This window comes from Homo sapiens, chromosome 2, assembly GCF_000001405.40.
Source record: "Homo sapiens chromosome 2, GRCh38.p14 Primary Assembly".
NCBI classification, from domain to species: domain Eukaryota; kingdom Metazoa; phylum Chordata; class Mammalia; order Primates; family Hominidae; genus Homo; species Homo sapiens.
The window spans coordinates 196,544,998-196,571,800 of record NC_000002.12 but is presented as its reverse complement, the minus strand read 5'-3'; the positions used below and the strand labels follow the sequence as shown (position 1 = coordinate 196,571,800).

The following is a 26,803-nucleotide window of genomic DNA, read 5'->3' as shown; positions in this document are numbered from 1 at the left end:
CAATTCTTTTGGGTGTATGATTGGTTTATTTTTGCTTTGTATGGAAGCATCTACAGAAATACCCAAGTTGATAATTGATTTTTCTTTTATTTTTTTTTTTGAGACAGAATCTCATCCCATTGCCCAGGCCGGAGTGCAGTAGCATGATCTCGGCTCACTGCAACCTCCGCTTCCCATGCCTTTCGTGCCTCAGCCTCCTGAGTAGGTGGGATTACAGGTAACTGTCAGCACACCCGGCTAATTTTTGTATTTTTAGTAGACTTGGGGTTTCACCATGTTGGCCAGGCTGGTCTCAAACTCCTGACCTCAAGTGATCCACCCACCTTGGCCTCCGAAAGTGCTGGGATTAGAGGTGTGAGCCACTGCGCCCAGCCTCAACTTGATAATTTTTAATAGGCCAGTAGACTTAATGATTTGCTCAGATTTTGTTATTTTTGATACATTCTTCAGTAGACACAACTAAGTATTGTTTGCTGTTTATTCCCAAACATTAGACATTACCTCACTTGTTCTCTTGTGTTTAAAGTGATAAAGTTTAAACAATTTTAAATGACACAAAGCCATGTCAGGGATTAGGAAATGAGTACATTACAAAATTAAATGTAATCTGACTTCTGATTCCTAGTTGAATCCTTAAACTGCTGTGCTTTGTTATTATTTTTGTGTAAAGGAAGAGTATAAGGGTAAGAAGTATTGTAGTTCTTTTGAATAAGCAATTAACACAGCATTTCATAGTCTAAATTTCATTGATAAATTAGTAGGTTATTGGGGAAATATATTTAGGGAAAGAAAGTTACAGTTTTAGTCATTGAGATAGATGTGAGTGGCCATACGTTCTTTGAACATCAGGGAAACAAACTCAAATACCTGCACTGCACAAGCAGGTAACATAAGTCCGTGAAGCAAATGGGGTGAAGAGTCTGGCAAACTGGACCTCACATGCACTTTCTAAAGGGAAAGCTTCTACTGGCTATTGCTGGTTATTGTCCCATGATACTAGCTAGATATGCCAATTTTTCAAGAAAAATCAGAAATAATAATTTGTATGTGAAATCTTTTTATTTTGAGAAGTGAGCAAATAATTTATTTCTATTTTTAAATTATACTTTAAGTTCTAGGGTACATGTGCACAACATGCAGGTTTGCTACATAGGTATACATGTGCCATGTTGGTTTGCTGCACCCATCAACTCGTCATTTACATTAGGTATTTCTCCTAATGCTATCCCTCCCCCTACCCCCTACCCCATGACAGGCCCCGGGGTGTGATGTTCCCCACCCTGTGTCCCAAGTGTTCTCATTGTTTAATTCTCACCTATGAGTGAGAACATGCAGTGTTTGGGTTTCTGTCCTTGTGATAGTTGAGCAAATAATTTAAACATTTCAATAAAATACTGTGCTGCCCAACCAGATAAGTTTGCAAGCTTGATTTATGACTCTGACGTCGATAAATTTGTGAATTCAGAAGGTAGCTGGTTTGATAGGTGCAATATAAATGATATGTTCATTATAATCTGAGATAATTGACTAAAATGATTATGGTAATTACATTTCTCGTGTTGTAAAGTACCATAAGGATCATCTAGTGTATCCATTTTATTTTATAGTTAAGAAAACAGGACCTTACAACGTTTAATGACTTTCTGTGTTTGCAGTCATATCTATTGAGACTTTTAGAACCATACAAAGCAAGCTAAAGGGTAACAGTGCCAGTGCCGCCTTCTGAAAATGCATTTGGATATCTCTTGTGTCTTTTATTTTCAGAAACAAGGTATTGCTGTGATGTCCAGGCTAGAGTGCGTTGGCTATTCACAGGTGTGATCATAGCGCATTATAGGCTTGAACTCCTGGGTTCAGGCATTCTCCTACCTCAGCTTCCCAAGTAGCTGGGACTTCAGGCATGTGCCACCATGCCTGGTTCTTGTGTCCTTATTAGTAATAACTTGGGTTTATATAGCACTTTTCCATGTGCCTTCACATATAGGTGTTATTCTCATTTGGTCACAGAAGAAACTGAGTCCTAAAGAAGTTTTGTAACTTGCTTAAGTTCACACAGCTCATTTATGAGAGATAGTGTGTTCATTATAATTTATCCTACATCCTGGTACATCTTTGAGTATGATAATTACACTGGGACAATAGGCACAAATCGGGGGTCCTGGGAAGTCTCAGATAGAGGGTCCCCCTAGTGATGGAACTGATGTTAGGATCTAGTACCTTTATTTGTAAACTTTCCCTGTCTTAGCAGGAAGATAAATAATATGACAAAATTAAGGTTTCTCAAGGGAAAAATGTATGTGTGTAGAATAGAGAAGCATAAAAAAGTATCATATGGAAAAAGTAGACAGAAGTCATTTTCTTCTTTATGGTATTTATTTATTAAGGAGAAGTTGATGCTTGAGACACAAAGCCTATTTTATTTTATTTTAGTTTAGTTTAGTTTAGTTTAGTTTAGTTTAGAGACAGTGTCTCACTCTGTCACCCAGGCTGGAGTGCAGTGGCACAATCATAGCTCATTATAACCTTGAACTCCTGGGCTCAAGTGAGCCTCCTGCCTCAGCCTCCTGAGTAGCCAAGGTTACAGATGTGTACCACCATGCCTAGCTATTTCTTTTTTCAAAGTTTTTGGAGAGATGGGGTCTCACTATGTTGCCCAGGCTGGTCTTGAACTCCTGGCCTCAAGTGATTCTCCTCCCTGGCCTCCCAAAGTGCTGAGATTTCAGGCATGAGCCGCCTTTCCCAGCCAGAGCCTATTTTATAACAAAGCTGTGAACATCTCATGTAATTTAGTGAATACTGCACTGAAAGTAAAAAACAGGATGGTTATATGGGCATTCACAATTAACATACACAACTGAAAACACCCTGGACCTGGGATGTTTGAAGCATTGAACTAAAATTAATTGTGGATGCTGGGGATGCTACAGCGACCAGGTTATCAATTTCTCTGTCTCCTGATGAGGCTCGAGAGTAGCTGGTAGGGGACCCTGGAGTATCTATACTTGTTGATGGTTTAGTGGGCGTAGTGCTCTTCAAGAAGTTAGTAAGTATTGGTTTTTTACCCTTGCGATTGTGTGGCTGACTAGGATCTGTGGCTTACCGCACTACCCAGCATTGCAAGAGTATCACATTGTATATTGCTAGGCCAGGAAAAGATCAGAGTTCAGAATCTAAAGTACGGTTTCAACTGAATGCATGTTGCTTTCACACCATTGTAAAGCTGAAAAATTGTAAGTCAAACCATGGTTAAGTCCAGATGCTTCTGGATTTATTATGGGGTTATGTCCTGATAAACCCATGGTAAAATTGAAAAATCATAAGTAAGCTCACCTATCATAAGTAAGGGGCTGTCTGTATTTCCTAGTTTTTGGCTTAGTGCTTTGTTAGGCTTTTTATTTTCCCCCATGTATTTTACTCACACTTCAGGTCTCCATTTTGTAGTAGATAGGAGTGGGCGAAACTAAGTACTGTTTGAGTTTTTAAGTTGGCTGCATTGTCTGAGATGCTTTTAGGATGTAAGATTTCATATAATGGGAATACAGAAGTAACTATCATAACATAGAGGATTTTAATTTAGATATATATTTGAGTGTCCTAATGACTTTTTTCCCAAATTTTTAAAAAGAAACAGACACACAACTTCATGTTATGAGGTTTTAATGGATCCTTGAAAAAATTTGGAAATGAAAAGGTAATAAAGAGAGAACAAATGTAGCAAAACATGCAAACCCTTCAATTAGAACAATTCAATGTTTCTAGGAAATATGTTTGAAATATTATATTTATTAATTACTTTATTTTTAGATATGTGTAAGGTTAAAGTAAAATGAAAGATTTACTGGATAACTGTGCTTAAAATATTTACTGGATAACATGATTAAAATATTTTCTTTCAAGCTTTAAGATAAAATATTCCATTTCTTAATTTCCAAAATGTGAGAAGACTTTATTTAGGGCTTTCAGTTTAATTCCCATTAGGGAGGAATGAAATTAATCTAGAAACAGATTTATTAAGACATCCTACTACTGAAATTTTTATTGTAGAAGATAAAGAAGACTATGACTTTTGCCAAAGAACATAATTATTTCCAGGATTTCTTTGTGATAATGGCCCATATCAGCGTTAGATAATTAATTCTGGTTGAATATATGGAATCAGAGAAATATCTAATTCCTGCGCTTTCCATCATCTACTTTCCCTAGGGCAATAGGCTCTATAGGCATGTGATTCCGCCTGCCTTCAAGGGAGTCTCAGGTGACAGGTTTGGCAGGCATTTTACTGTGACAAACAAGGGTCACCAGTTTATGACCTTTTTCAGTTAGCAACATCTGCTTTCTTGTTTTGAGGGACCCAACTGCCAAACCAACGCTTCATATTTTATATTTATGTAACATCAGCACACCACTTCTGGCACCAGTTTCTATGATTGTTTGGATATGAGCTAAGCTGCTATAATAGGCACTTCTCCAAAGCACAGTGGCCCAGTAAAGACAGAAGCTTATTTTTGTCTTAACATTCTTTCTGTTATTTCTCTCTTATTTCTACTTAAGGGAAACAGGTGGGTCAGGATGGACAGCACTGCCCATTTCTTGTATTTTGTTGCTCTGCCATCCCTTGTCATCTGTGCGGTCAGAGATGCCTCATCCACATTTGTACCCCAGTCTGTGAGAACAGAGGGAAGCACAAGATGTGGAAATGGCATGTTACTTCCACTAACATTTCATCAGTGAGAATTTAATCTTATGACTATGCCTGCACTCAGTCAGGGGCAGGCAGGTGTTTTCTCTCCATGGATGGTCATGTACCCAGCTAAAATGCTGTTACTAGGAAAGAAGGAGAGATTAGATTTTGGGGAATGCCTAGCAATCTGCCAGAGTTACTTAATTCCTCGGAATCTTAGCTTCCTCTTCTCTAAAATGTGGTAATAATTTTATCTACCTCAGAGAGTTGTCTCGAAAATTGGGTAATACATAGAAAGTATAGTTTCTGAGGCTGAGGAAGGCAGATCACTTTGAGGCCAGGAGTTTGAGACCAGCCTGGCCAACATGCTGAAACCGCATCTCTACCAAAAATACAAAAAAAAAAAAAAAAAAAAAAAAATTAGCTGGGTGTGGTGGCTGGCACCTGTAGTCCTGGCTACTCAGGAGGCTGAGGCAGGAGAATCACTTGACCCTGGGGAGGCAGAGGTTGCAGTGAGCCAAGATCGTGCCACTGCACTCCAGCCTGGGCAGCAAGAACGAGATTCCATTTCAAAAAAAAAAAAAAGAAAAAGAAAAGTATAGTTTCTGGTATATATAATATGCTCAATAAATGTTAGTTTTTAATTATGAAGATATTTTTCTAACGACAAGAGTAGCTATTGCTTTTTAGTTTATTAATGCATAAAGAACTTGTAAGCAATGCTTATTTTACTTCAGAAAAATTCTACTATTTAAAGCAGTAAAAGGCGCAGACCTAAATACGTGGAGACCGTAGATATTACAGCACCATAACATCTGGGTTCTTTTTTTTTTTTTTTGCTTATTTTTGAAAAAGCAAAATTATTAATGGAACAACCATTTACACTGTTTCTTAGAATGGTTTTAATGTAGATAAAGCATAAGTAGGTTTTGAGGTAAGTAGTCCATTAGAGTAATTTAATTTCCCTTGCAAAAATTTTAGTTAGTTTTTTTTTTCCTTCTAAAATGGGTCATCGCTAAAAGCAATTCATTTATTTGGCAAGATATTCTTAGCATATGGATTTGATGCGGCGGTGAGAATTCTAAAATGCCTATGTAATTTAAAAAGTTGTTTCCTGGTAATTGGCTGAGGGAAACAAACGATAAAGTTTTTACTAGCCTAAAGAAAAACAAAAGCTGAAACATATACAAAAGTGGAAATAATTTACTAATATTTTAAACTGCTTGAGTTTGAAAGTAGGGAAAGTAACCTAGTATTATGACTATTCGCATGTACTATACATTATTTGTCATTGATAGCTATAATGAAACATTTAAATCCACAAACAATTATTCTTTATTATTTTATAGACAATTATTATTTTTGAATAAAGAAAGATAACTTTATTTTGGGTTTTGGTTTCTTTACTTGTTAATTTCAGCCAGTTAATTGTTAAGGTTCATTATAATTTTTGAAAGCACTTTTTAGCAGAACTCAGTTTTTGGTCAAGAAGCAAAGATGAAAAGTGACTAGGAAGTTATTCAGAGATTTTTCACTAGTTTTGTGAAATTGGTGGTTAATGTGGTTAAAGCAGTCTGTATCCACTAGAAATATGTCTTAAAGATGAGGAAGCTGAACTTTAAATCTATTTGTTCATCTATTCCCCACTTTCAAAGGACATATGGGAAAACAAAGTAAAGAACATGTCAAGTTAAATTTTTTTTTAAACTTAGCATCTCTAAAGCATGTTCATTTGTTGCATAAGAATTCTTCTTTGGTTTCCTATTTTTTGGGCAAAATGCCGAAAGAGGATATGTGTGCCATCTGCTTTGTCATCATCAATTTTAGATTAAATTCCCCAAATTTAGATTGAGTTTTCACTGATTTAACCTGCAGCTTTTGGTAATTTTTTTCCTTGATCTCTGGCATAGCTTCTGACTATTTTGTGGGTGAGTTAAAGATGATGTTTAGATGTAGTAAGATAGGGGTTGGGTTACTGCAGCCACTGGCCTTGCAATTAGTTAAGTTGGACTTCATTGTGAAGTTAGTGGGGAGCATTGGGCAAAAGAGAGTGGTGAATTTTACCAAAAGGTTTTTCTGTTTAATTAATTCATTATTAGCTAGGCTCCGTTTAACTATCTCTGTGAAGAAATAGTTAAATTGCTTGCCTCAAAAAAAAAAAAAAATCAAAGCATAGAAACAAATTACCACTCAACTTTTAATGTATTGTCTACTAGACTGTACTGCTCATTAGGCTTTTATTTGATATGCTATTTTATTTTTCAATTTTAAATTATAATCTATGTAAATTTGGAATATTGAATGTATAGGATGGAGATGACTTTAATTGCTGTCAAACTCCAAGGATAAGTTAAGTAGGAGGCATGAGGTTGAGGAACATAAGTTTTTATGAGAAAAAATAAGGTTAAGAGGGAATAAGAAAAAACAGTAGTGAATGTTTAAATTAAAAATATTTCCTCTTTCCCTCAATTTTTAATTTAAAAAAACTTCTAACTGCAAAAAAAGTTGAAATAAAAAGAAAAAGCAGCACTCATAAGATCCATCTGTTGCATTCTGTCACATTTGATTCTCTATGTATGTGATATATTTATTTAGAAAGCTTTTAAAAATAAGTTATAGATACCATTAAACATCCTGCCTGAATACTTCCACACTTCCTGAGAATAAGGACATTATCCTACCATCCCTAATATTATTGTTTTTGTGGTTATTACTGTTGCTGAATCTTCCTAATTAATCATAATTCAATAATATCATCTCATGTACATTTTATGTTGAATTATCCCATTTTTTAAGGATCCAGGATGCAATAAAATTTCACACATTGCATTTGATTGTCATGCCTCTTAATCTCATTTTAATCTGGAAAAATTCCCCTGCCTTTTTTTAAAATTATGACTAATTTGAAGAGTGTAGACCAGTTATAGGATGTTCTATATTCTGGATTTGTCTGTTTCCCATTTTTTAGATTCACTTTTTTTGGCAAGAAGACAGCTGAGGTGATATCACTACTACTTCCCATCAGAAGGCACAGGATGTCTGCTACTGGTGATTGTGGAATGGGATTGTTTGGTTAAGTGTTAACTACTGTAGCTTTCCCATATACAAGTACCTGTGTCCTTTTGTGATTAGTAAATAGTCTCTGGGATGATACTGTGTGAGATCATGTGAATATCCTATTCCCCAATAATATTTTCCCAGGTACTTCTAGGCATTCATAGGTGATTCTTGCCTGAATTAATTACAGTGAAGATTGCAAAGGGATTATGTTCTAATTCTGTAATCCCTTTTTCATTTAATAGATAGCATTTTGCAAGAACTTCCCTCACATCCTTCCACTCCCCCTTAATATGGATTCATGGATTTTTAAGTTAAATGTATTATATTTAATACTTGATGATCAGTATTATATTTTTAGATGCACAAATTATTCAGATCTAGCTAGTGGGTGCCTTTTCAAGCTGGTTCCTGTGTTCTTTACTTGACTCCTGTAGTCTTTGAGCACTTTCTTGCATTCAGGAATGAATTTTGTTTGTTTGTTTTTGTTTTTTGAGATAGAGTCTCACTCTGTCACCCAAGTTTGAGTGCAGTGGTGGTGTGATCTCGGCTCACTACAACCTCCGCCTCCTGGGTTCAAGCGATTCTCCTGCCTCAGCCTCCTGGGTAACTGGGATTACAGGTGTCCGCCACCACATCTGGCTAATTTTTCAATTTTTAGTAGAGGCGGGGTTTTGCCATTTTGGCCAGGCTGGTCTCAAACTCCTGACCTCAAGTGATCCACCTGCCTCGGCCTCCCAAAGTGCTGGGATTACAAGCGTGAGCCACCGTGCCCAGCCAGGAATGAATATTTTTTACGTGACTAAGATAACGTTATAACATTTATTTTATAATAAAACAGTAAAAGTGGTTTAGACATTTTACACAAACTAATTTTCTTCTATCATCAATTGTTTGATGGAAAGTTCTTCTTATAGTTTCAGTGATAACTGAAATAAGTGTATACCTCTTAATTATTGAAGATTATAAGCATATCAAGAGGCTGGTTTCTGGTGTGTTTCTCAAAGCTAGTACTTTTCTCTAATTTTTGAGACAGGGTCTCTCCCAGGCTGGAGTACATTGTGCGTTCATGGCTCACTGCAGCCTCAACCTCCCAGGCTCAAGCTATCCTTCCACCTTGGCCTCCAAGCAGCTGGGACTACAGGTGTGCCTCACCACACCTGGCTAATTTTTTAATTTTTTGTAGAGACAGGGTCTTGCTATATTGCTGAGGCTAGTCTTGAACTCCTGGGCTCAAGTGATCCTTCTGCCTCAGCCTACCAAAGTGCTGGGATTACAGATGTGAGCCACCAACCCTGGCCAAAGCTGGTACTTTTCTGATTTGTGATTCGAATAAAAAATTCTGAGTGCTGCCTCCTGGGAACCTCTGTGAATGGATGCCTAAGATGGAGAAATACTTTGGGACAGCCCGCCTTACATGTATTTCTGCTCTGTCCCTCCTGCTTCTTGTATATTTTGGAAATGCAGTGATAAGGCTGGGGTTTACTTGTGCTCATTTTCCATTATCTTTCCCACATTTTAATTGGACAATATCTAAATTGCTTCTCTGTATCCACTTTACCTGTCTTTTATATTTCCAAGCCCTCTTTCAGCTTTAGCTACTGAAAATGCCATTGAAAACAGTTTAAATAAATAACTCATACAGGGAGAATATCATTAAATTTTAAATATTGTCAAAAGAATGTGCTGTAAAGTATACTGAATTCCTCCTTTGTAAAATTCTGGTATAAGTGGTTTTACTTCTTTATACATTTAAAGTACATGTAAGAAATTTAGTATGTATCACTTGTGCTATTGTTTCTAACTTGGTTGGAGGGTGGGAGGGTTTAAAGCTGGGAAAGGGAAGGAACTATGAAGGAGTCTTTTACTAGACTGACATTTATTCCACCAATTCATTGTCTTTGGATATTCTGCTTAACCACCTGCAAATCTATTCAGCGTATCATTATTTAGGCTGCATGTCTCTATTCTTGGCTACAAGAGTGTTTTAAGAGACTTCATACCATGCCGACATCTAAATATGCTGTCTAAAGCGTTGTCATACCCACCATTCTCCTAACCATGTCAAAAGGAAATAACGTGTTTGGCATAACTTATTCTTAGTGAAACCCTGCTGTTTTCTACTGATTGCCTCTTTTCATTGCCTCTAAGTTCTCACAGACCACTTATTTGGTAAACTATTTTAGAGGTGTGCAGGGTAGGACATCAGGCTCTGTGAGTCTCAGAATCTACCTTTCCTCCTAATCTTTGCCCATCCCAAGACATCAGTTCTTTCCCTGTAGCTGGATGTTGCCTGTGCTGCTGGGTAAGGCAAATCTCTAACTAAGAAGTCATTGTATGTATTAGGGGAACCAGCCCCTGATATTTCAACATAGGTTCTTTTCTATTTTCCCTAAGTGCCGGCCGGTCTGAGAAATAAAGGGAAAGAGTACAAAAGAGAAAAATTTTAAAGCTAGGTGGCCGGGGGAGACATCACATGTCAGCAGGTTCCATGATGCCTCCTGAGCCGTAAAAAACAGCAAGTTTTTATTAGCAATTTTCAAAGAGGAGGGAGTGTACGAATAGGGTGTGGGTCACAAAGATCACATGCTTCAAGGGCAACAAAAGATCACAAGGCAGAAGGTCAGGGCGGGATCACAAGGTCAGGGCAAAACTAGAATTACTAATGAAGTTCCATGTCCCACTGTGCACGCATTGTCATTGATAAACATCTTAACAGGGTTCAAGAGCAGAGAGCACATCTGACTAGAATTTGCCAGGCTGGAATTTCCTAATCCTAGCAAGCCTGGCGGCACTGCAGGAGGCCAGGGCGTGTTTTATCCCTTATCTGCAGCTGCATAAGGCAGACACCCCCAGAGTGGCCATTTTAGAGGCCTCCTCTGGGAATGCATTCTTTTCCCAAGGCTGTTAATTATTAATATTCCTTACTGGGGAAAGAATTCAGCGATATTTCTCTTACCCGTTTTTGGTAATAAGAGAAATGTGGCTCTGTCCTGCCTGGCTCCCAGGCAGTCAGACCTAATGGTTATCTCCCTTGTTCCCTGAACATCGCTGTTATCCTATTCTTTTTTCAAGGTGCCCAGGTTTCATATTGTTCAAACACACATGCTTTACAAACAATTTGGGCAGTTAATGCAATCATCACAGGGTCCTGAGGCGACATACATCCTCAGCTTACGAAGATGACAGGATTAAGAGATTAAAGTAAAGACAAGCATAGGAAATTATAAGAGTATTGATTGGGGAAGTGATAAATGTCCATGAAATCTTCACAATTTATGTTCTTCTGTCACGGCTTCAGCAAGTCTCTCCGTTCGCGGTCCCTGACTTCCCGCAACAGTATGGACTTTTTTGTGGGAAAATTATTTGTGTGGATCTACCAAGGAAATGTCTGCAGAGTCCACTTTGAGAAAAGCTGACTTGAGAAACTGATTTTCTGGACACATTGTATCAATTATTTCTGTAAATGAGAAGTCACTGAACTGGTAAAATATATATCTTTTAGATTATCCAAAAAAATGAACATGCAATTAAGATTTTTTTTAAAGCTCAGTTCCCTGGGACAGGGACAGGGAGTGCGGGCATATGAAGATCTCAGATAAGAAACAGTGGTTAAGGCTGGGCACAGTGGCTCAGGCCCGTAATCCCAGCACTTTGGGAGGCCCGAGGTGGGCAGATCACCTGAGGTCAGGAGTTTGAGACCAGCCTGGCTAACATGGTGAAACCCCGTCTCTACTAAAAATACAAAAATTAGCTGGGCATGGTGATGGGTACCTGTAATCCCAGCTACTTGGGAGGCTGAGGCAGGAGAATCACTTGAACCTGGGAGGTGGAGGTTGCAGTGAGCCGAGATCGCGCCATTGCACTCCAACCTGGGCAACAAGAGTGAGACCTTTGCTGTTAAAGGGTGGTCCCTGCAGCAGCAACATCATCAGGGTGCTTCATAGAAATACAGACTCTCAGGCCCTAATCCAGCCCTGTTGAATCAAAATCTGCATTTTGACACCATCTCCAGGTGATTCATATACAAATTAGGTTTGAGAAGCTCTGGAAATCATTTTCATGGGACCGTCCCTCTCTGCAAGTGAACTGGTAGAGAGATAAAGACTCATCTTGTGAAGTACCTGCAGATACTAAATAGCATAATTAGGAAAATCCTTTTAGAGTGAAAGGAATTCAGATATTTATTGTACATTGTTGGCTCAATACAATTGTTTAATATTGACCTTCCCACACTGTACCTTGTGAGATTTAAGATGTATGCAAATACAATGACTATTATTTTCAAAAAATGATTTTTGTAGTCATTTTACTAGCCATAAGCCAGAGTGCTCAAAACCTTTCCCCCTTTTTCTGCTTTCTGTATTCTTTCTAAAGGTGGCTAAATTGTCGAAGTTATAATTCAGCATGAAGAGAAAACTCCAAGAAAAAAGGCTTTAGCTGGGGCCATGCCTCTGTTGTTTGCATCCTAACTTTGTTAGAGCTCCTTAAGCACAGTAGAGCCTCGTCTGTTCCATGACACTGCAGGCTTGTCGCATAACCCTATGAGCAGTAATCAACTGGACTCCAGATGTTGCTGTCTCACATTAGCCCAACGTTAGCTTCAATAATGTTGATGGCAGCTTGATATATATCAGGGTTTCCTAGCTTTCTTAGATGTCTTACTTATATTGGGGGTGATGAAGGAATTGAACCTCCTCCCTTTAGCTGAGACATCCCCACGTGTTTCTGAAGGGTGGACATGTCAGGTAGGACTCTGATGGGCTGGTGTATGTGCTGTTGAAGAAAATACTTTAAGCCAATGTCAGATTGCAGGTGCATCTTACTGGCTCACTCAGGTGGGAGGGTCTAATGGGAACTGTGGGTGTTGTGAGCTGGCAGAGGGCATCAGTATGGTGTAGTGAAAAGAACATTGTGTTTCTAATTAGGTAGATGTGGTTTGAATCCCAGCTCTCCTGCTTATTAGTTCTGCAACCTAGTAGCAGTTATTTAGTCTCTGATTTTTGAGTTCCATAATTGTAAAAATAGGGTTAATTTCTATCTCCCTGGGTTGTTGTGAGACTCTAATGAGATGATGTATTAAGAGCCTAATATAGTGCCTGGCATAGAGTAGGTGCCCATTGAATGGTAAGTTCACATTACTAATCCATTTGGTATATTAAACAATTCCATACAGGTTTTTTTAAATGCCTGCCCCAGCTAAACTAAGTAAGGATTTAAGTAGCTTCTGATAGTTTTGCCCATCAAATGTATTTTCAAGTGATTCTTTGCCAGGTAAGCATCATCTTCTGTTATTGCTGCTGTGGCAGACACAGGCCTTCAAAGGCACAATGCTGTCAACCTGGCAGATTCATCAGCTGGATCAGAGCCAGCAGGGATTACATGTCCAGAAAGCTGAGAATATTCCATTTTACACAAGGGATACGCCAACATGTCAGCTAGAATCAAGGAAAAGGGACTACGTGCTTAAAACAATAGCAAGTGGTAAAAAGAGCTTTGGTGAATTAATCACGTTCAAATGGTTGCAGTACCTGGTGTTGTTTTCTATGAAGAAGGCTATGAAATGCAACATTTTGTTTCAAAAAGTATGCTCATGCTCATATAGTATCCTGGAAAGGACATTTTTCTTTATAATTATAAAGGGTGTAGAGTTTGATGTAAAGCTCTCCAAATTCACAACTCTGCTTATATCAGGAAACCAGGAGGTGTGGCACAAAATCCTAACTTATTAGTGTTCTACCTGTGAATATTTGACTGTAGACTTCTTCCATTACTTTTCTCTCTCTATCTCTGAATCTGAACCCATAGCCCATCTGAGTTTGAAAGCTCTGATTTTAGGTATTGAAGTAGTGCCTTGGTTATTTTTTAACTTTTAAGTGGTTGCTGTTTAGAAAATGTTAGAAAAATAACTTTAATCAGATTTAAGAAAACTACTGGATGAAGAATATTTTTTGTTTTGACTAAATTACATTGATTCATCTTTTAAATGGGGATTATAATGGTACCTATTCCATAGGATTAGTATCTACCTTACAGAATAAATAAAGTATTAATAATATATGTGAAGTGTTTAGTATATGGTGCTTGGCATGCCATAAACATATTTTATAATCGTGTTAAGTATTATTAATTTTTTGCTATTGGTTTCTCTCTGCTTACAAAACAGAAATTTTCATTGTAGAAAATGTAAAATAAAACAAAGAAAAAAAATCACATAAATGCTCTAATAACAGATACTGACATTTTAGTACATCTTCCCAGCCTTCTGTTTCCCTACATGCATATATTTTACATAAGCAAATCAAAATTGTAGTAGTTTTAAACTTGCATTTTTCACTCATTATATTAGCAGTATTTTCCCATGAAATATTATCACATGATTTTAATGTCATTTTATTTTACTTATGCCCTAAAACTTGTTTCCTCTATTGTTAGATATTTGTGTTTTCAGTCTTTCATTAGTTATTAGGAGCTCTCCAGTGAATTTTTTTTTCCCCTTGGGCTGAGTTGGAAGAGGAATTACTGGATTAAAAGCTGTATACACTTTTGTGCACATTGCAAAACTGTCTTTCAGGGAAGTTCTACAAATTTATACTCATACTTGGAATATATGAAATTTGGTGCTTACTCCTTCTGACACTGGGACATGATACTTTTTTTTTTTTTTGAGGTGGAGTTTTGCTCTTGTTGCCCAGGCTGGAGTGCAATGGTGCAATCTTGGCTCACTGCAGCCTCCGCCCCCCAGGTTCAAGCAATTCTCCTGCCTCAACCTCCCAAGTAGCTGGGATTACAGGAATGTGCCACCACGCCCTGCTAATTTTGTATGTTTAGTAGAGATGGGGTTTCACCATGTTGGTCAGGCTGGTCTCGAACTCCTGACCTCAGGTGATCCGCCCACCTCGGGCTCCCAAAGTGCTGGGATTACAGACATGAGTCACTGCACCCTGCCAGACATAATTTTTAAAAAGTCTCAATTTAATGGGTTAAAAAATACCATTTTTATGTAAAACTTAAATATTTTCTACTAGTATTGAACTTTTTATGTTCAGAAACTCTATTATTCTATATGAGTTTGCTTATCTGTGTCCTTTGAACATTTTGTGGGAGTTAGTTATTTATAGAAATCTCTAATTTTTAAGGCTATCAACTCTTAATCAGGAATACTGCAAGTATTTTTCCATAGTTTTCAATTTGCCTTTTAAGTTTGTTCACAATATTTTTGATAGAGATTTTTAGTTTTTGGTAGTCAGATGTAACAGTTTCTTTTTCTTCTTTGTTTCTGCCTCTGTGTTATGCTTGGGATATCTATCTCCACTCCAAGATTACACCATCGTCTATGTTTTAGTTCATTTCTTCATCCACGTACTTTAATCCCACAGATGTTCATTGAATGTCTCTTATATGGCAGGGCTAAGACAATTGCCAGGCAAAAAGTAATATACCTTACACATTTGGAGCTTCAGTCTGGTAGGAAATTGACCTTAATAAGGACATGATGCTAAGTGAAATATGCCAGGCACAGAAAGATAAATACTGCATAATCTCACTTATAAATGGAAGCTAAAGAAAGTCAACTCATAGAAACAGAGAGTAGAAGGGTCGGGAACGGGAGAAAATGGGAGATATTGGTCAAAGGGTACACACTTCTAGTTATAAGATGAATACATTCTGGAGACTTACTGTACAGCATGATGACTATAGTGAATAATAATATATTGTATACTTGAAATTTGCTACGAGAATAGATCTTACATATTCTCGCCACAAAATCAAGGTAATTATGTGAGGTGATGGACATGTTAATTGGCTTGATTTTGGTAATCATTTCATAATGCATACATATATCAAAACATCATGTACTCTTTAAATATACAGAATTTTCATTTGTCAATTATACCTCAGTGAAGCTGCAAGAAGAAGAAAATAGGCCTTAATTTCTCTTAAATTTGCACAAATAAAATTAAAACTGTGCTAAGTATTATGAAGGAGAGGTAAATAGTAAAATAAAAATGTCTACTGAGGTTAACTGACCTGCTTGGGGAGGTCTGGGAGGGATTTCCAGTGGAAGTGGCCTTGATGGAAGATTGTAGTTGAATCACATAAGGACGTGGTGGAGGAAGGCATTTCAGGCCTGGCAGATGCCACTGTGGCTGAAGCACAGAGATCAAGAAAGATAAAGCAGGATTATGTCAAGAAATGGCTGGAAAGGAGTTTTGAAGCTAGACCTTGTGGGGACTTGTAAGTCTTGTTAAGGATTTTGATACTTTGTTGTAAGAGCAATGGAAAACCACTAATGCCATTTAAGGAGGATGCTCAGAGTAGGTGATATGATGCTGTCTTTTCTTTTTAAAAAATACTTAACTCTTTAATTCTTTTGGAGTTTGTTTTTATGGGGCCTACAAATTTTTTTTCTAAGCAGTTAAAGTCACTGTACCTTTAGCTGAATAATTTTTTCTTTTCCCATTTTTCTGAAGTGTACTCTTATCATAAAGTAAAATTTTATATATCACTTGTGTCTTTTATGCAGCAAGATGTTTTGATAGGACCTATGTGCTATGATCTGAGTGTTTGTGTCCCCACACCACCAATTCGTATGTTGAAATCTAACCTGCAATGTGATGGTATTAGGAGGTGGCCTTTGGCAGGTGATTAGGTCATGACAATGGAGCCCTCATGAAAAGGATTCGCACCCTTACAAAACAGGCCCCATGCAGCTGCCTTGTCCCTTCCACCACATAAGGACCCAGCAAGAAGGAGCTCTGAATCAGAAAGGAGCCCTCACCAGACACCAAATCTGCCTGCTTGATCTTGGACTTGATCTTGCACCTCCCCGCCTCCATAATGATGATAAATACATTTCTGTTGCTAATAATCTACCCAGTTTATGGTATTTGTTATAGCAGTCCAAACAGAAAAAAAATTGCTTGTTTTTTCTTCCTTATTTAGTCTTACTTCAGTGGAATCTGTTCATTCCTATTTTAGGCCATATTTATCCTTATTCTCAGTGTCTGTATTTTGGGCGACCTTGAAGGTTTGACAATCCCCCTTTGGCCTTTTAAAGTAGAGGGCAGAGTGTTGTGCACAGTCTGGACCCAACTGTGTTTTATCTTGGCCTTTTTGGCTGTGGATCTGTTGTCCCGTGCAGGGATTTTTTGGTCTCTTGTTCAGGTCTTTTTATGAGGGCGGGAATTGATTCTGTAATGATGTGAAAACATAAGTATTTTGCAAGCCAACAATTTTGCACACTGCAGAGCCTACTGCTCTTCGTTCTTCTAGGCTAAACTTCTCCGATGATTGACTTATGGATCAAAGCCCCAGACCCATTGCATGCTGGAAGATGAAGCTGGTGGAAATTAAAGTGGAATTGGAATAAGAAAAGACTTACTGAGAGAAAGGGACAGTTCTCAGTGATTTTAGAAAGCAGGTTAAGGGTGTAGTTTGCTCCCCTTTGTGTCCAAAGCCCAGTTTCTGGGAGGTGGGGCACATATTTTGGCTAGGTGAAGGAAATTCTGCTGTTTGACCATCCTCCTCATTCTTTGATTAAGGTCTCAGGGCTTCAACTGAGTTTTAGTTTTACTAACATTTAGTTAGTAGATGTTTCTTCAGTTTTTTCATAGGTCATTGAGCCATTTGTCAAGATTCCAGGACTGTGAAAACATCAATACGATGATGAGCCAGTGAGCCTAAGTCACAAGTTGTTTTTTGCCATCATAATTCAAAAATCTTTTTTTTTTTTTGAGACGGAGTCTCATTCTGTCGCCCAGGCGGGAGTGCTGTGGCGCGATCTCCGCTCACTGCAAGCTCCGCCTTCCGGGTTCACGCCATTCTCCTGCCTCAGCCTCCCGAGTAGCTGGGACTACAGGCGCCCGCCACTGCGCCCGGCTAATTTTTTGTATTTTTAGTAGAGACGGGGTTTCACCGTGGTCTCGATCTCCTGACCTCGTGATCCGCCCGCCTCGGCCTCCCAAAGTGCTGGGATTACAGGCGTGAGCCACCGCGCCCGGCCCAAAAATCTTTTTAAGAGAAGCCCTCCAGCCCTATCCTAGATATCAGGGAGCTACCCTCCCTGGCAAACAACCTCTTGGCTTTTGTGCCATTTGGGGCTGTATTATTTTGTTTGAGTGAGATGTCAAGTTTACTGACTGAAGAGTTTTTTATTGGTTAGGTGGAAGTGACACTAGCACATAAATATATTTTGAGGCTTGTGTGGATTGGATATTACTGATTGGATATTACTGAGGCTCAAGTTAATGGTGTTTTAGGTTAAAAACTTACCTAGTATGTGGAGCATCAGTTTGTTCAGTATACAATTCTATAAGAAGCTTTCTTTGGTCTAGTGAGCCACTGGCCTGAAGACTTCTACAGACTGTTGTTCCGCAAATCAGAGTTTAAATGCAGATGTCTCCTAGACCAACAAATTGCTGCAATTTTCTACCATGTTTTCTTGGTCACTGCTTCATCCTGCTGAGGAGCCTGATGGCAGTGGGGTAGTGCCTGGAAGTATAATTTTGTTGAAGGGTGTAAGGCAAACACTTATTACCATTTGTAATGCTCTGCTTACTTGCTTATTATCTGTCTCCTCAGTAGTCTCTAAGCAGTGGCATGCATATCTGTTTTATTCTCTACTGTGTGCCCAGGGTCTAGCACAGTATCTGGTGCTCCATGTATATTTGATGAATGAATGAATGAACTTGAAAGAGTCTCAGTGCCAAGTACCCACAGGTTACAGGGAAGTTATAGACAAGTTTTTGCCTTTATTTGTTAACCTGCAACTTCAATTAACTTGGTTCCAAAACCTCTTCAGATGTAGTAGAATTACTACATGTAGTGCATACTGTTGGGTGGAATTCAAACAAAATGGTGTTTCTGAAGAAGAGCAATTGCATGTGAAATACATTTTCTTGTGACTAGCAAAAATAATTTATTAGCCTCTAGCTCATTTAAATTTGATTCCTAGAAAGCAGTTATAGTAAAACACAAAAGCCTGTGAGAAAAGATGCGATATTTTCCCCTTTGGCCCTACTCGCCCACCCCTTCTGGGGCTTGGGGCACAGTCATCTCCCCCTGGGGCCTTATCCAGATTAGGTAATGGAAACATTTTTCCTCGGGTGGGATGGAGATTTGGAGACTTTCTGGGTTCTAGGGTTATACTGAGAGGGACTTTATTTTGCTAGAGACTTCCTTAATGCCGGAGACATTTTGAGGCCAGATCTGGAAGTTCCTTTCCCTGATTCACTGAAGAGGAAAGATTCACCCTCTCACTGCCATTCTGGCCTCTACCCTTTCCATGGAAGTAAAATCTAATGGAACCAAATGGTGGAGATGCTTGGCCAGCCACAGAGAAAGAATGAGAGGAAGCCTCAGGCTCAGGAAGAGGAGGTAAGACACTTAAGGAACCATAGGGAGCGGGAGAGAGGAAGGACTTCCTTTGGCCTCTCAAGGTGATTATGTGAAGAGTTGAGCTGGTGATTTAGGGAACAATAAAAGAACTGTTTTGTACCATGCTCCTGACTCTGCACTTTATCTTTTAATAGTAAGGCTTCTTTGCTAATGGACTATGAATATATCTCTGTTTTCTCTGAAGATGGAGGCTAGGTCATCTTCTGTGAGTGAGACAGATAAAGGCTGTGTGGAAATTTTGAGGAGAATGGGGAAAGTAAGAAATAGTTGTCATGAAAGTGGACCAGAAAGCTTCCAGGAGAAAACTTAGAAGGATTTCCAGGCAGCCAAGGGCCTAAGGGTCACTTTGTTGGGAGAATATAAACGTTTTCTCACACAAACCTGATTGGTCAGCTGCACAGCCTTTAAGAAGCTTTCTTTAACCATAAAGCTTTAAGTTTGATTTACAACTTAAATATCTCTCCCTGGTACTCTCATGTCAACTTGGCCATGCATTATAATTCTTATCATTTTGGGTTGAAATATTAGTTCCCTGCATCTCTCTTTTCAAAGACAGGTCATACCTTGTTTCCTCTTTACCTGTAGGACCTAGTCCTGTGGCGCTGTCTTAATAGGCTCTGGGTAATGTTTGAATTAACCCAGATAAGTAGAGAAGGGTGAGAAGTGATTCAGGATGGTATGTTGTCATGAAGGCTGAGGAAGTGATAGTTGACAGTAAGAAATGCTAGGAAAATAAAATGAAGAAGTATTGCATATGAAGAAGGTCAGCTGATGACCTTGGAGAGGAGAGCTCCAGGCAAATTTGGATCCTGAAGACAGATTGCAGAGGCCTATGAAAAGAATGCATGACTGAATATTATTGTTTCCTCAGAATTTAGTGTAATTTTCAATTCATATTGATTCTCTTTCAAATCAGGGAATAATTATTGTACATCTAAGCTTAAAAGAAATTAATAGTCATGTTTACCATTTAAACAAAGTTATCAGATACTGTATTTAGATGACCTGAAACTGCAGAGATGTTAAATCTTTCTTTATATAGTATGCGCAGGGAAAAATTATATTATACCAGTATAAAGAAGCATGTTAAATCCAGACATTTGTATATTTTGAATTATCATCTGGAATAGTTTTAGAGTAAACAGAAGCCAAGTTCTGCTAGGTTATGTCTATGAATATCAGTCTTTCCATTTTCTAGAGTAGAGTGATTCAAAATAGTTGTGTTATCTACAGACTGTCACTTTTTAACAATAGCTTGACTTTTTTTGGTCTTTTAAGGTCTCATACAAATGTTTGCAAAAAAGAGTATTTACTTACTATTTCTTTTCACTTAACTTTCTCCTGCCCCTGTCCTTGGCTGTAAGTGTGTTTGTGTTTCTTCCTAATAAAATGAAGTGGGTGTGTCTCTTAGCTGTTTTCATTGTGAAACTTTTATTCTTTTGGTCCCTGAAGTATTGCATTTCTTTGGCTTCTTCTAAACTTATGTAGCCTATGGAGCTATTTATCTGGTCTGTTGTGATGGAGATGAGAGGAACATTTGGATTTCATTTAACTTCTTAGTTGCCTTTGGAGGCAATGGAATTTTTACTGGATAAAAAGACAAACACTTAGATTTCATCCTAATTGGAAGTTTGAATGTTTGGCACTGTCTTGTGTACATGCTAGCAATAAGGCATGAAAGGTTTAAAATCTTTATTGATCTTATTAGAAATTCTTTTTTATATTAATTTTCTTGGTTGTAACTAAAGTTCTTCCAGTTGACTGTATTTGGTCTTAAGCTATAACAAACTGCTTAGGCAGAAGATAAGAATTGGATGTTCTCACTGATCATGTATACATCTTCCTGAAAGAGATTATTTAAATAGATGCCTAATAAATTATAGTACATTCTTACAATAGAATTCCATTTTGCCATTTAAAATGACACTGTAAGGAAAAATTTATTGCCACAAGGTGGTCTCTGCAATATATTTTTAAGGCAATAAAGATAGTCACAAAATAGCATTTATAACATGTTCTCATTTTTGTTATCCCTTTACCTGTGTATTTATGAATGGAAAAGAAAGTCTGGAAGGATATGTGGTAAAATGTCTCTGAGTATTAGAAATAAGGGTGGCTTTCACTTTATTCCTAATAACATTTATAGAGACTAAAAAGCAATAGTAATTTTAAAAGGAAAAGCTATTTTCTTAAAGAATTTTCAATGAAAATTTCATGTTTCTTAATTTTTTTTTTTTACTTAGCTCATTTCTACTTCATAGAGATATATCTGGAATGACAGGGAAAACAACTTCCCAACTGTGATTCATTTCGTAGAGGAGTCACATCACTGTTCGAACTTGTATTTAAATTACAATCAGAAAATACAGCTGATCATCAGGACTAGGAAATGAAGTCTGGATGGAGACTTCTAAGCAGGAATTAGAGTCCAAGCTTAGAATATGAAGTGAAAGAGAGTCAGTCAGTCTACCTTTATATGGATGGTAGATAAGTTAACCAAACTAGTGTCCAATTCCAGCCTGTGTAGGCAAGGTCAGAGCACTGAGGAAACTTCAAGTTGAATCGATCAAGAAGCAAATATTCTCTGTTGAAACTCCAACAAGAATTGGTCAAGCCTCTAAAGTCAGCACAGTCTGGCAGGTTACATTGAAGATTCTGTGTTTATCAGTGAAGCTTGTCAGCCAGACCCTGCAAATGCCTGTCTCCTTCAACCACTGAATCATGCCCTCTTTCACCTTTACCTTGCCATTTACACACTTTGGGAGAAAGGGTCTATGGGCCAGTTCAGTTTAGAATATTATAGCATTGCCTGAAACATATCAGGTCGATTGGTAAATATACTTTGCTATGAGTATCATTTCTTTTTCAGTTTTTCTAGGAAAATATCTGTGGAGGCATTGCTGAAGAAAATTGCTTGTATTATAATCTGTCTATGTAGGAGCTTTAAACAAAAAGTGATTTTGTAAGATAAAAACTATAAAGTCAGTTGTAGTCATAGTAGTTTCAATGTGTAGATATAACTTTGATGTAGACATTGAAGGATGTGGGGATGTTAAAAAAAAAAAAAAGAGCAAGACTGGCAAATATCAGAAAATGTAGTGTTGACCAGCTAAGTTGGATTTAGGTTAATGGAATATTCTTTGAAACCATTTAAAAATGTAATTACATGGATGAATCTTACAAATATCTTGAGTAAAAAAAAGACTCTAAATAATGTATTACAATATCGTTTCACTCACATGCAGTTCAAAAACCAAACTGTATTATGTTTGGGATACATTTAAAAGTGGTAAAACCATGAAGGAAAGAAAAGAAGTCATTTTCCTTAAAGTAACGATAGTGAGACCTCCTGGAGGAGGGAGGGGAGTGTGACCAGGAAAGCGCATACAGGGGTCCCAGACTGCTGACTGTGCTCTATTTTTTGACCTGGATTGCAGTTATGCATGTGTTTCCTTTATAATTATTTGTTATGCTGTAGATTGATGTCTTAGCATTTTCCAAATCTGTTATATTTTCCAATAAAAAGGCTTTTAAGAGGATAAAATGACTATCATAGTGAGTACCTACTATTTGGTCTGAGATGTAAAGGGTTTCTAAGTTTGTGGGGTTGGATTGTGTCCCCCGCAAAGTTCATGTGTTGAAGTGCCAACCCCTTGTACCTTGGAATGTGACCTTAACTGGAGATAGGTTCGTTAAAGAGGTAATTAAGCTAAAAGGAGGTCATTAGGGTGGGCCCTAATCCAGTATAACTGGTGTCCTTATAAAAAGGGGAAATATGGGCAGAAAGACACGCACAGAGGGAAGACTATGTGAGGAGGCATAGGAGAAAGACCGCCACCTATAAGCCAAGGTGAGGGTAGAACAGATTCTTCCCTCACAGCCCCAAGAAGGAACCAACCCTGCCAACACCTTGACTGTGGGCTTCCAGCCTCCAGAACTGTGGGAAAATACGTTTCTGTTGTTTAAGCCACCCAGGCTGTGGTATTTCTTATGGCAGTCCCAGTAAAGTAACAGTTCAGAAGACTGACAAACATTTTAGCTTTTAATCAGTGGCTTTACTTATTACAATGACCTGTTTTGGGGTTTTTCAAAGTAGAATGGGGCAGCTACCTTTCCCATGTGACTCAGGAATTTCTAATTAAAGTGACTGAAGGCTGGGAGCAAGGATGTAGTTTATCCTCAAGTCATCCAGCTTTTGTTTAATATAATAGTTATCTATCTTTCAGAGCCTTGACTATTTTTTTGGTGTTTTTTTTTCTTTTTGTAAGCATCTGTATTATGTAAGATCAGTGGATTTCTTTTTTCTTTTTCTTCTTTTCTTTTTTTTTTTTTTGAGATGGAGTCTTGCTCTGTCATCCAGGCTGGAGTGCACTGGCGAGATCTCAGCCCACTGCAACCTCCACCTCCCCGATTCAAGCAATTCTCCTGCCTCAGCCTCCTGAGTAGCTGGGATTACAGGCAGGCAACCACCACAGCCTGGCTTATTTTTGTATTTTTGGTAGAGATAGGGTTTCTATATTGGCCAGGCTGGTCCTGAACTCCTGACCTCAAGTGATCCACCCATCTTAGCCTCCCAAAGTGCTGAGATTACAGGTGTGAGCCACTGCGCCTGGCCCATAGTGGATTTCTTACTGGTGTTACTTAAGCAATGAGTTGCATTTGGATTAAAATCATCCAGGCTATGAAGAAGACCTCACTCGAATTCCCTCAGGTGATGAGAGTTGCCCAGAGAAGAGGTCCCCCAAGTGATGTCTTACAATATGATTCCACTCAGTTGCCCCTCAGTTGCTGGTATAGAGATGAGTTTCCTCACTGACTGTGAAGCTGGATATGATCATGTGACGAAATCTAGCCAATGGGGGAAAATCTAGCCATTTCTCTTTCTTCCTTCCTGCTGACTGGGAGATGGTGAGACTTCAAACAGCCACCTGGAAGTAGAAGTGGAAGCCCTTCCTGTGTATTGCTTATCTCTTGACTGTTAAATGTGAAACATAAATATTGCTCCTGTTCAGGCCACCTTACTTCTTGGTTTCTGTGTGGTGGCACCTGAATCTATATCCACAACTAATACACACCACTAGTTAGAGGTAGGTGAAAACTGTAGTCTCCTATCAATGCCCCCACCCTCAGACATGAAAGCAAATCTTTATTTGTAAGAGGACACAAAAGTACACCTACAACCTATTTTGTAAGTTTGATAGAGTCTATGACTTTGCCCTTTTAGGTGTTCCTTGCATTGTTTAAGAGGTTCACTTGGGGCAAATATAAAGTTTTTATATTATAAAGGCAGGATTCAGTTAAACTTACAGTTGGCCTTGGACAGCCAGAATCTTCCATCTGAATTGTGCCTGAGTGCAGTATCCCTCCTAGGGTCCTGTTCTTGAGTCCAGCCTTCTGAACATGCTAGGTTATAGCCCATCATGGAATGCTGGGGTGCCCCTGAAGTATTTCTAGTCAATTCACAAGTCTTGAACATCTTAGATTTTAACAGTAAAAACCCATTTCTACATTTCTGATATCCATTTTGATAACTGAGAACCTCAGCTCTTTACTAGAGGTAAAGATAGCTGAAAACTTTAAGAGACAGTAGCCATCTCTTAATGTGGCCCTTTTATTAACTGAGTCTTCATACTGTATTGTAGAGGAAGTTTCAGGTCACATAACAGTGGCTGTCATACTTTCCCGATGCTTACTTCAGCTTCTTTCTGTGTCTTTTCCTTCTCCTCTTTCTCTGCAGTTGTATATGCTCCTTTCTCCCTAGTGTCCTCATAGCTTTTGCTTATTCTTGGCCTCTCCTGCTTTAGAATTTCAGTTTTTACTTTCTCTCTTTTTTTTTTTTTTTGCTGTCCTTCTCCTATATGACAGGTCTCTCTGTACGAGTTGCATTCAAATGCACTGCAGAAGAATCTTGTTGTGTTGCCTAATCACTGTTCAGTACAGTTTATCACCTATGCGGTTGAGCTGTCATGCCTGACCACCTTGAAAGCCAATGGTCTTTCTCATACCCAGTCCAGAGCTGAAACCTTTAGGTAGGTCAAGCACCAACCCCTGATCCAGATAGTTGTAGCCAGGGTTGCAGGATACATTTTGCAAAGGTTAAAAACTTGTGCACCATAAACTGTTTCTTAAAGGGAAGTCACACACCAGATTTCTAAGACTTCTCTCCAATACCTTCCTTGATGCTTGAAACCAAACAATGACATAAAAGCCACAAGCCAGATATTCTGGTAAAATTCTGACAAGTTTAGTTAATTAAATCCATTCGACTAATGTTTACAGAGCATCTGCTAGACACTGTGCTAGACTAGTCATGAAATCATCTGAAGTCTAGTAGGGGAGACGTGTAAACAAGTGATGACAAAGGTTTGGGGAGAGAACTACTTGCTTCTCTTTGTGGCTTGGGTTAATTAAGACAAGAAGCTGGGAAGTGGCACTAAGGGGAGGTCCTCAAAGAATCTAACCACAGACAGGATTTGTGCCTATAAGGAAGAAACCTTCATTTGCATAAAAGGTAGCTGTAATAGGAGATAAATTTGCAAACATGCACTTTTGTCCTCTGAATTTCTTATCGTGGTGAGCATAAACAACTCCTTGTGTTCGAAATAATGTGGGTTTAAAGAACTCACCTTTATTAAAGTATGAGTGATGTGTTCTCCATAATTGAAAATGTCATCAAAGATATAGTCAAAGATATATACTTGGAAACTATTCAGTGTGTCATTTTGCTACTGTAAGTGATTTTTTGATGCCAGAATTCACTGGAATGAATTCATTGCATTTAATTTGGAGGAATTGAGTTCTCTTGGGCAACATAGAATTTTATAATCTATTAAGTGGTTTTCAATTACTCTCAGTACTTGGGACCAAGTGATGCATCCTCTTAAGAACTTGGGAACAGGGGAAATGTGATTGCTTTCTGAGAGTTAACTTTTAAAGTTATTGTATAATGGAGCAGAGACAGAATGACTTGCAGTCCTGCCAGAACGGATTGAATGTAAGAGCATGGTTTCAGAGAGACTGTGTTAGTGGCAGGTGTGCTTGGTTAGGTGTCAGAGCAAGATGCCTAAGGATGATCCCTGGCGTGCCCTTGTGTAAATGCTTTCAACTAATGCTTATTAAATATTCAAATCATATTACAAACTCTCCTTAGCCAGTTCCATTTTCCCTATCAAAACTCTCATCTATTAATCAGGACTTTTTGTTTGCAAGAGATAGTGATGTTGTTGGGCTGTGGCTGTCTCCATTTCTTCCTTCTGCTCTCCCGTTGGGCTTTGTTTTCAGTCAATGCTCTCTCTTTGATATGGCCCTCAGTGTGTTCCAGCTCATATCCTTACCCTTTAGCAATCTGACTAATTACTGAGGAGTTTCAGCCCTGAGACTGGCCAGTCCTGGGACATGTGCCCACCCAACCATCTAAATTATAAGTTCTCATCATGGGTGATGAATGGTTCCCAGAGGTAAAATTTTGTGATTTCGTAAGAGGGAGTAGATTTGAATAGGCAGACATTGCAGGTTTCCTCTGTCACTCTATTATTTGACTTCCACATGATGAGCTTACAGGAAGCAGTTTTCCCTGTCAATGAATACATTAGCATTCTTTGTGTTTGGGTATGTGTGATCACACACACACACATCCACACGCCCACTCACATGTAGATCTTATGA

The 26,803-nt window shown here is 38.4% G+C and overlaps 1 protein-coding gene across 8 annotated transcripts in view; it reads left to right on the top strand.

Moving 5' to 3' along the window:
- HECW2 (HECT, C2 and WW domain containing E3 ubiquitin protein ligase 2) overlaps window positions 1–26,803 on the top strand; it is a 399,483-nt gene that overhangs the window by 21,754 nt on the left and 350,926 nt on the right. For 2 of the 8 annotated variants that reach the window (XM_047445198.1, XM_047445195.1), the window contains exon 1: window positions 1,363–19,117. The exons of the other annotated variants lie outside the window; for them this stretch is intronic. The gene's annotated coding sequence lies outside the window, so the exon portion shown is untranslated. Of the gene's footprint in view, window positions 1–1,362; window positions 19,118–26,803 lie in introns of those variants that run through there. 8 annotated transcript variants of the gene reach the window in all.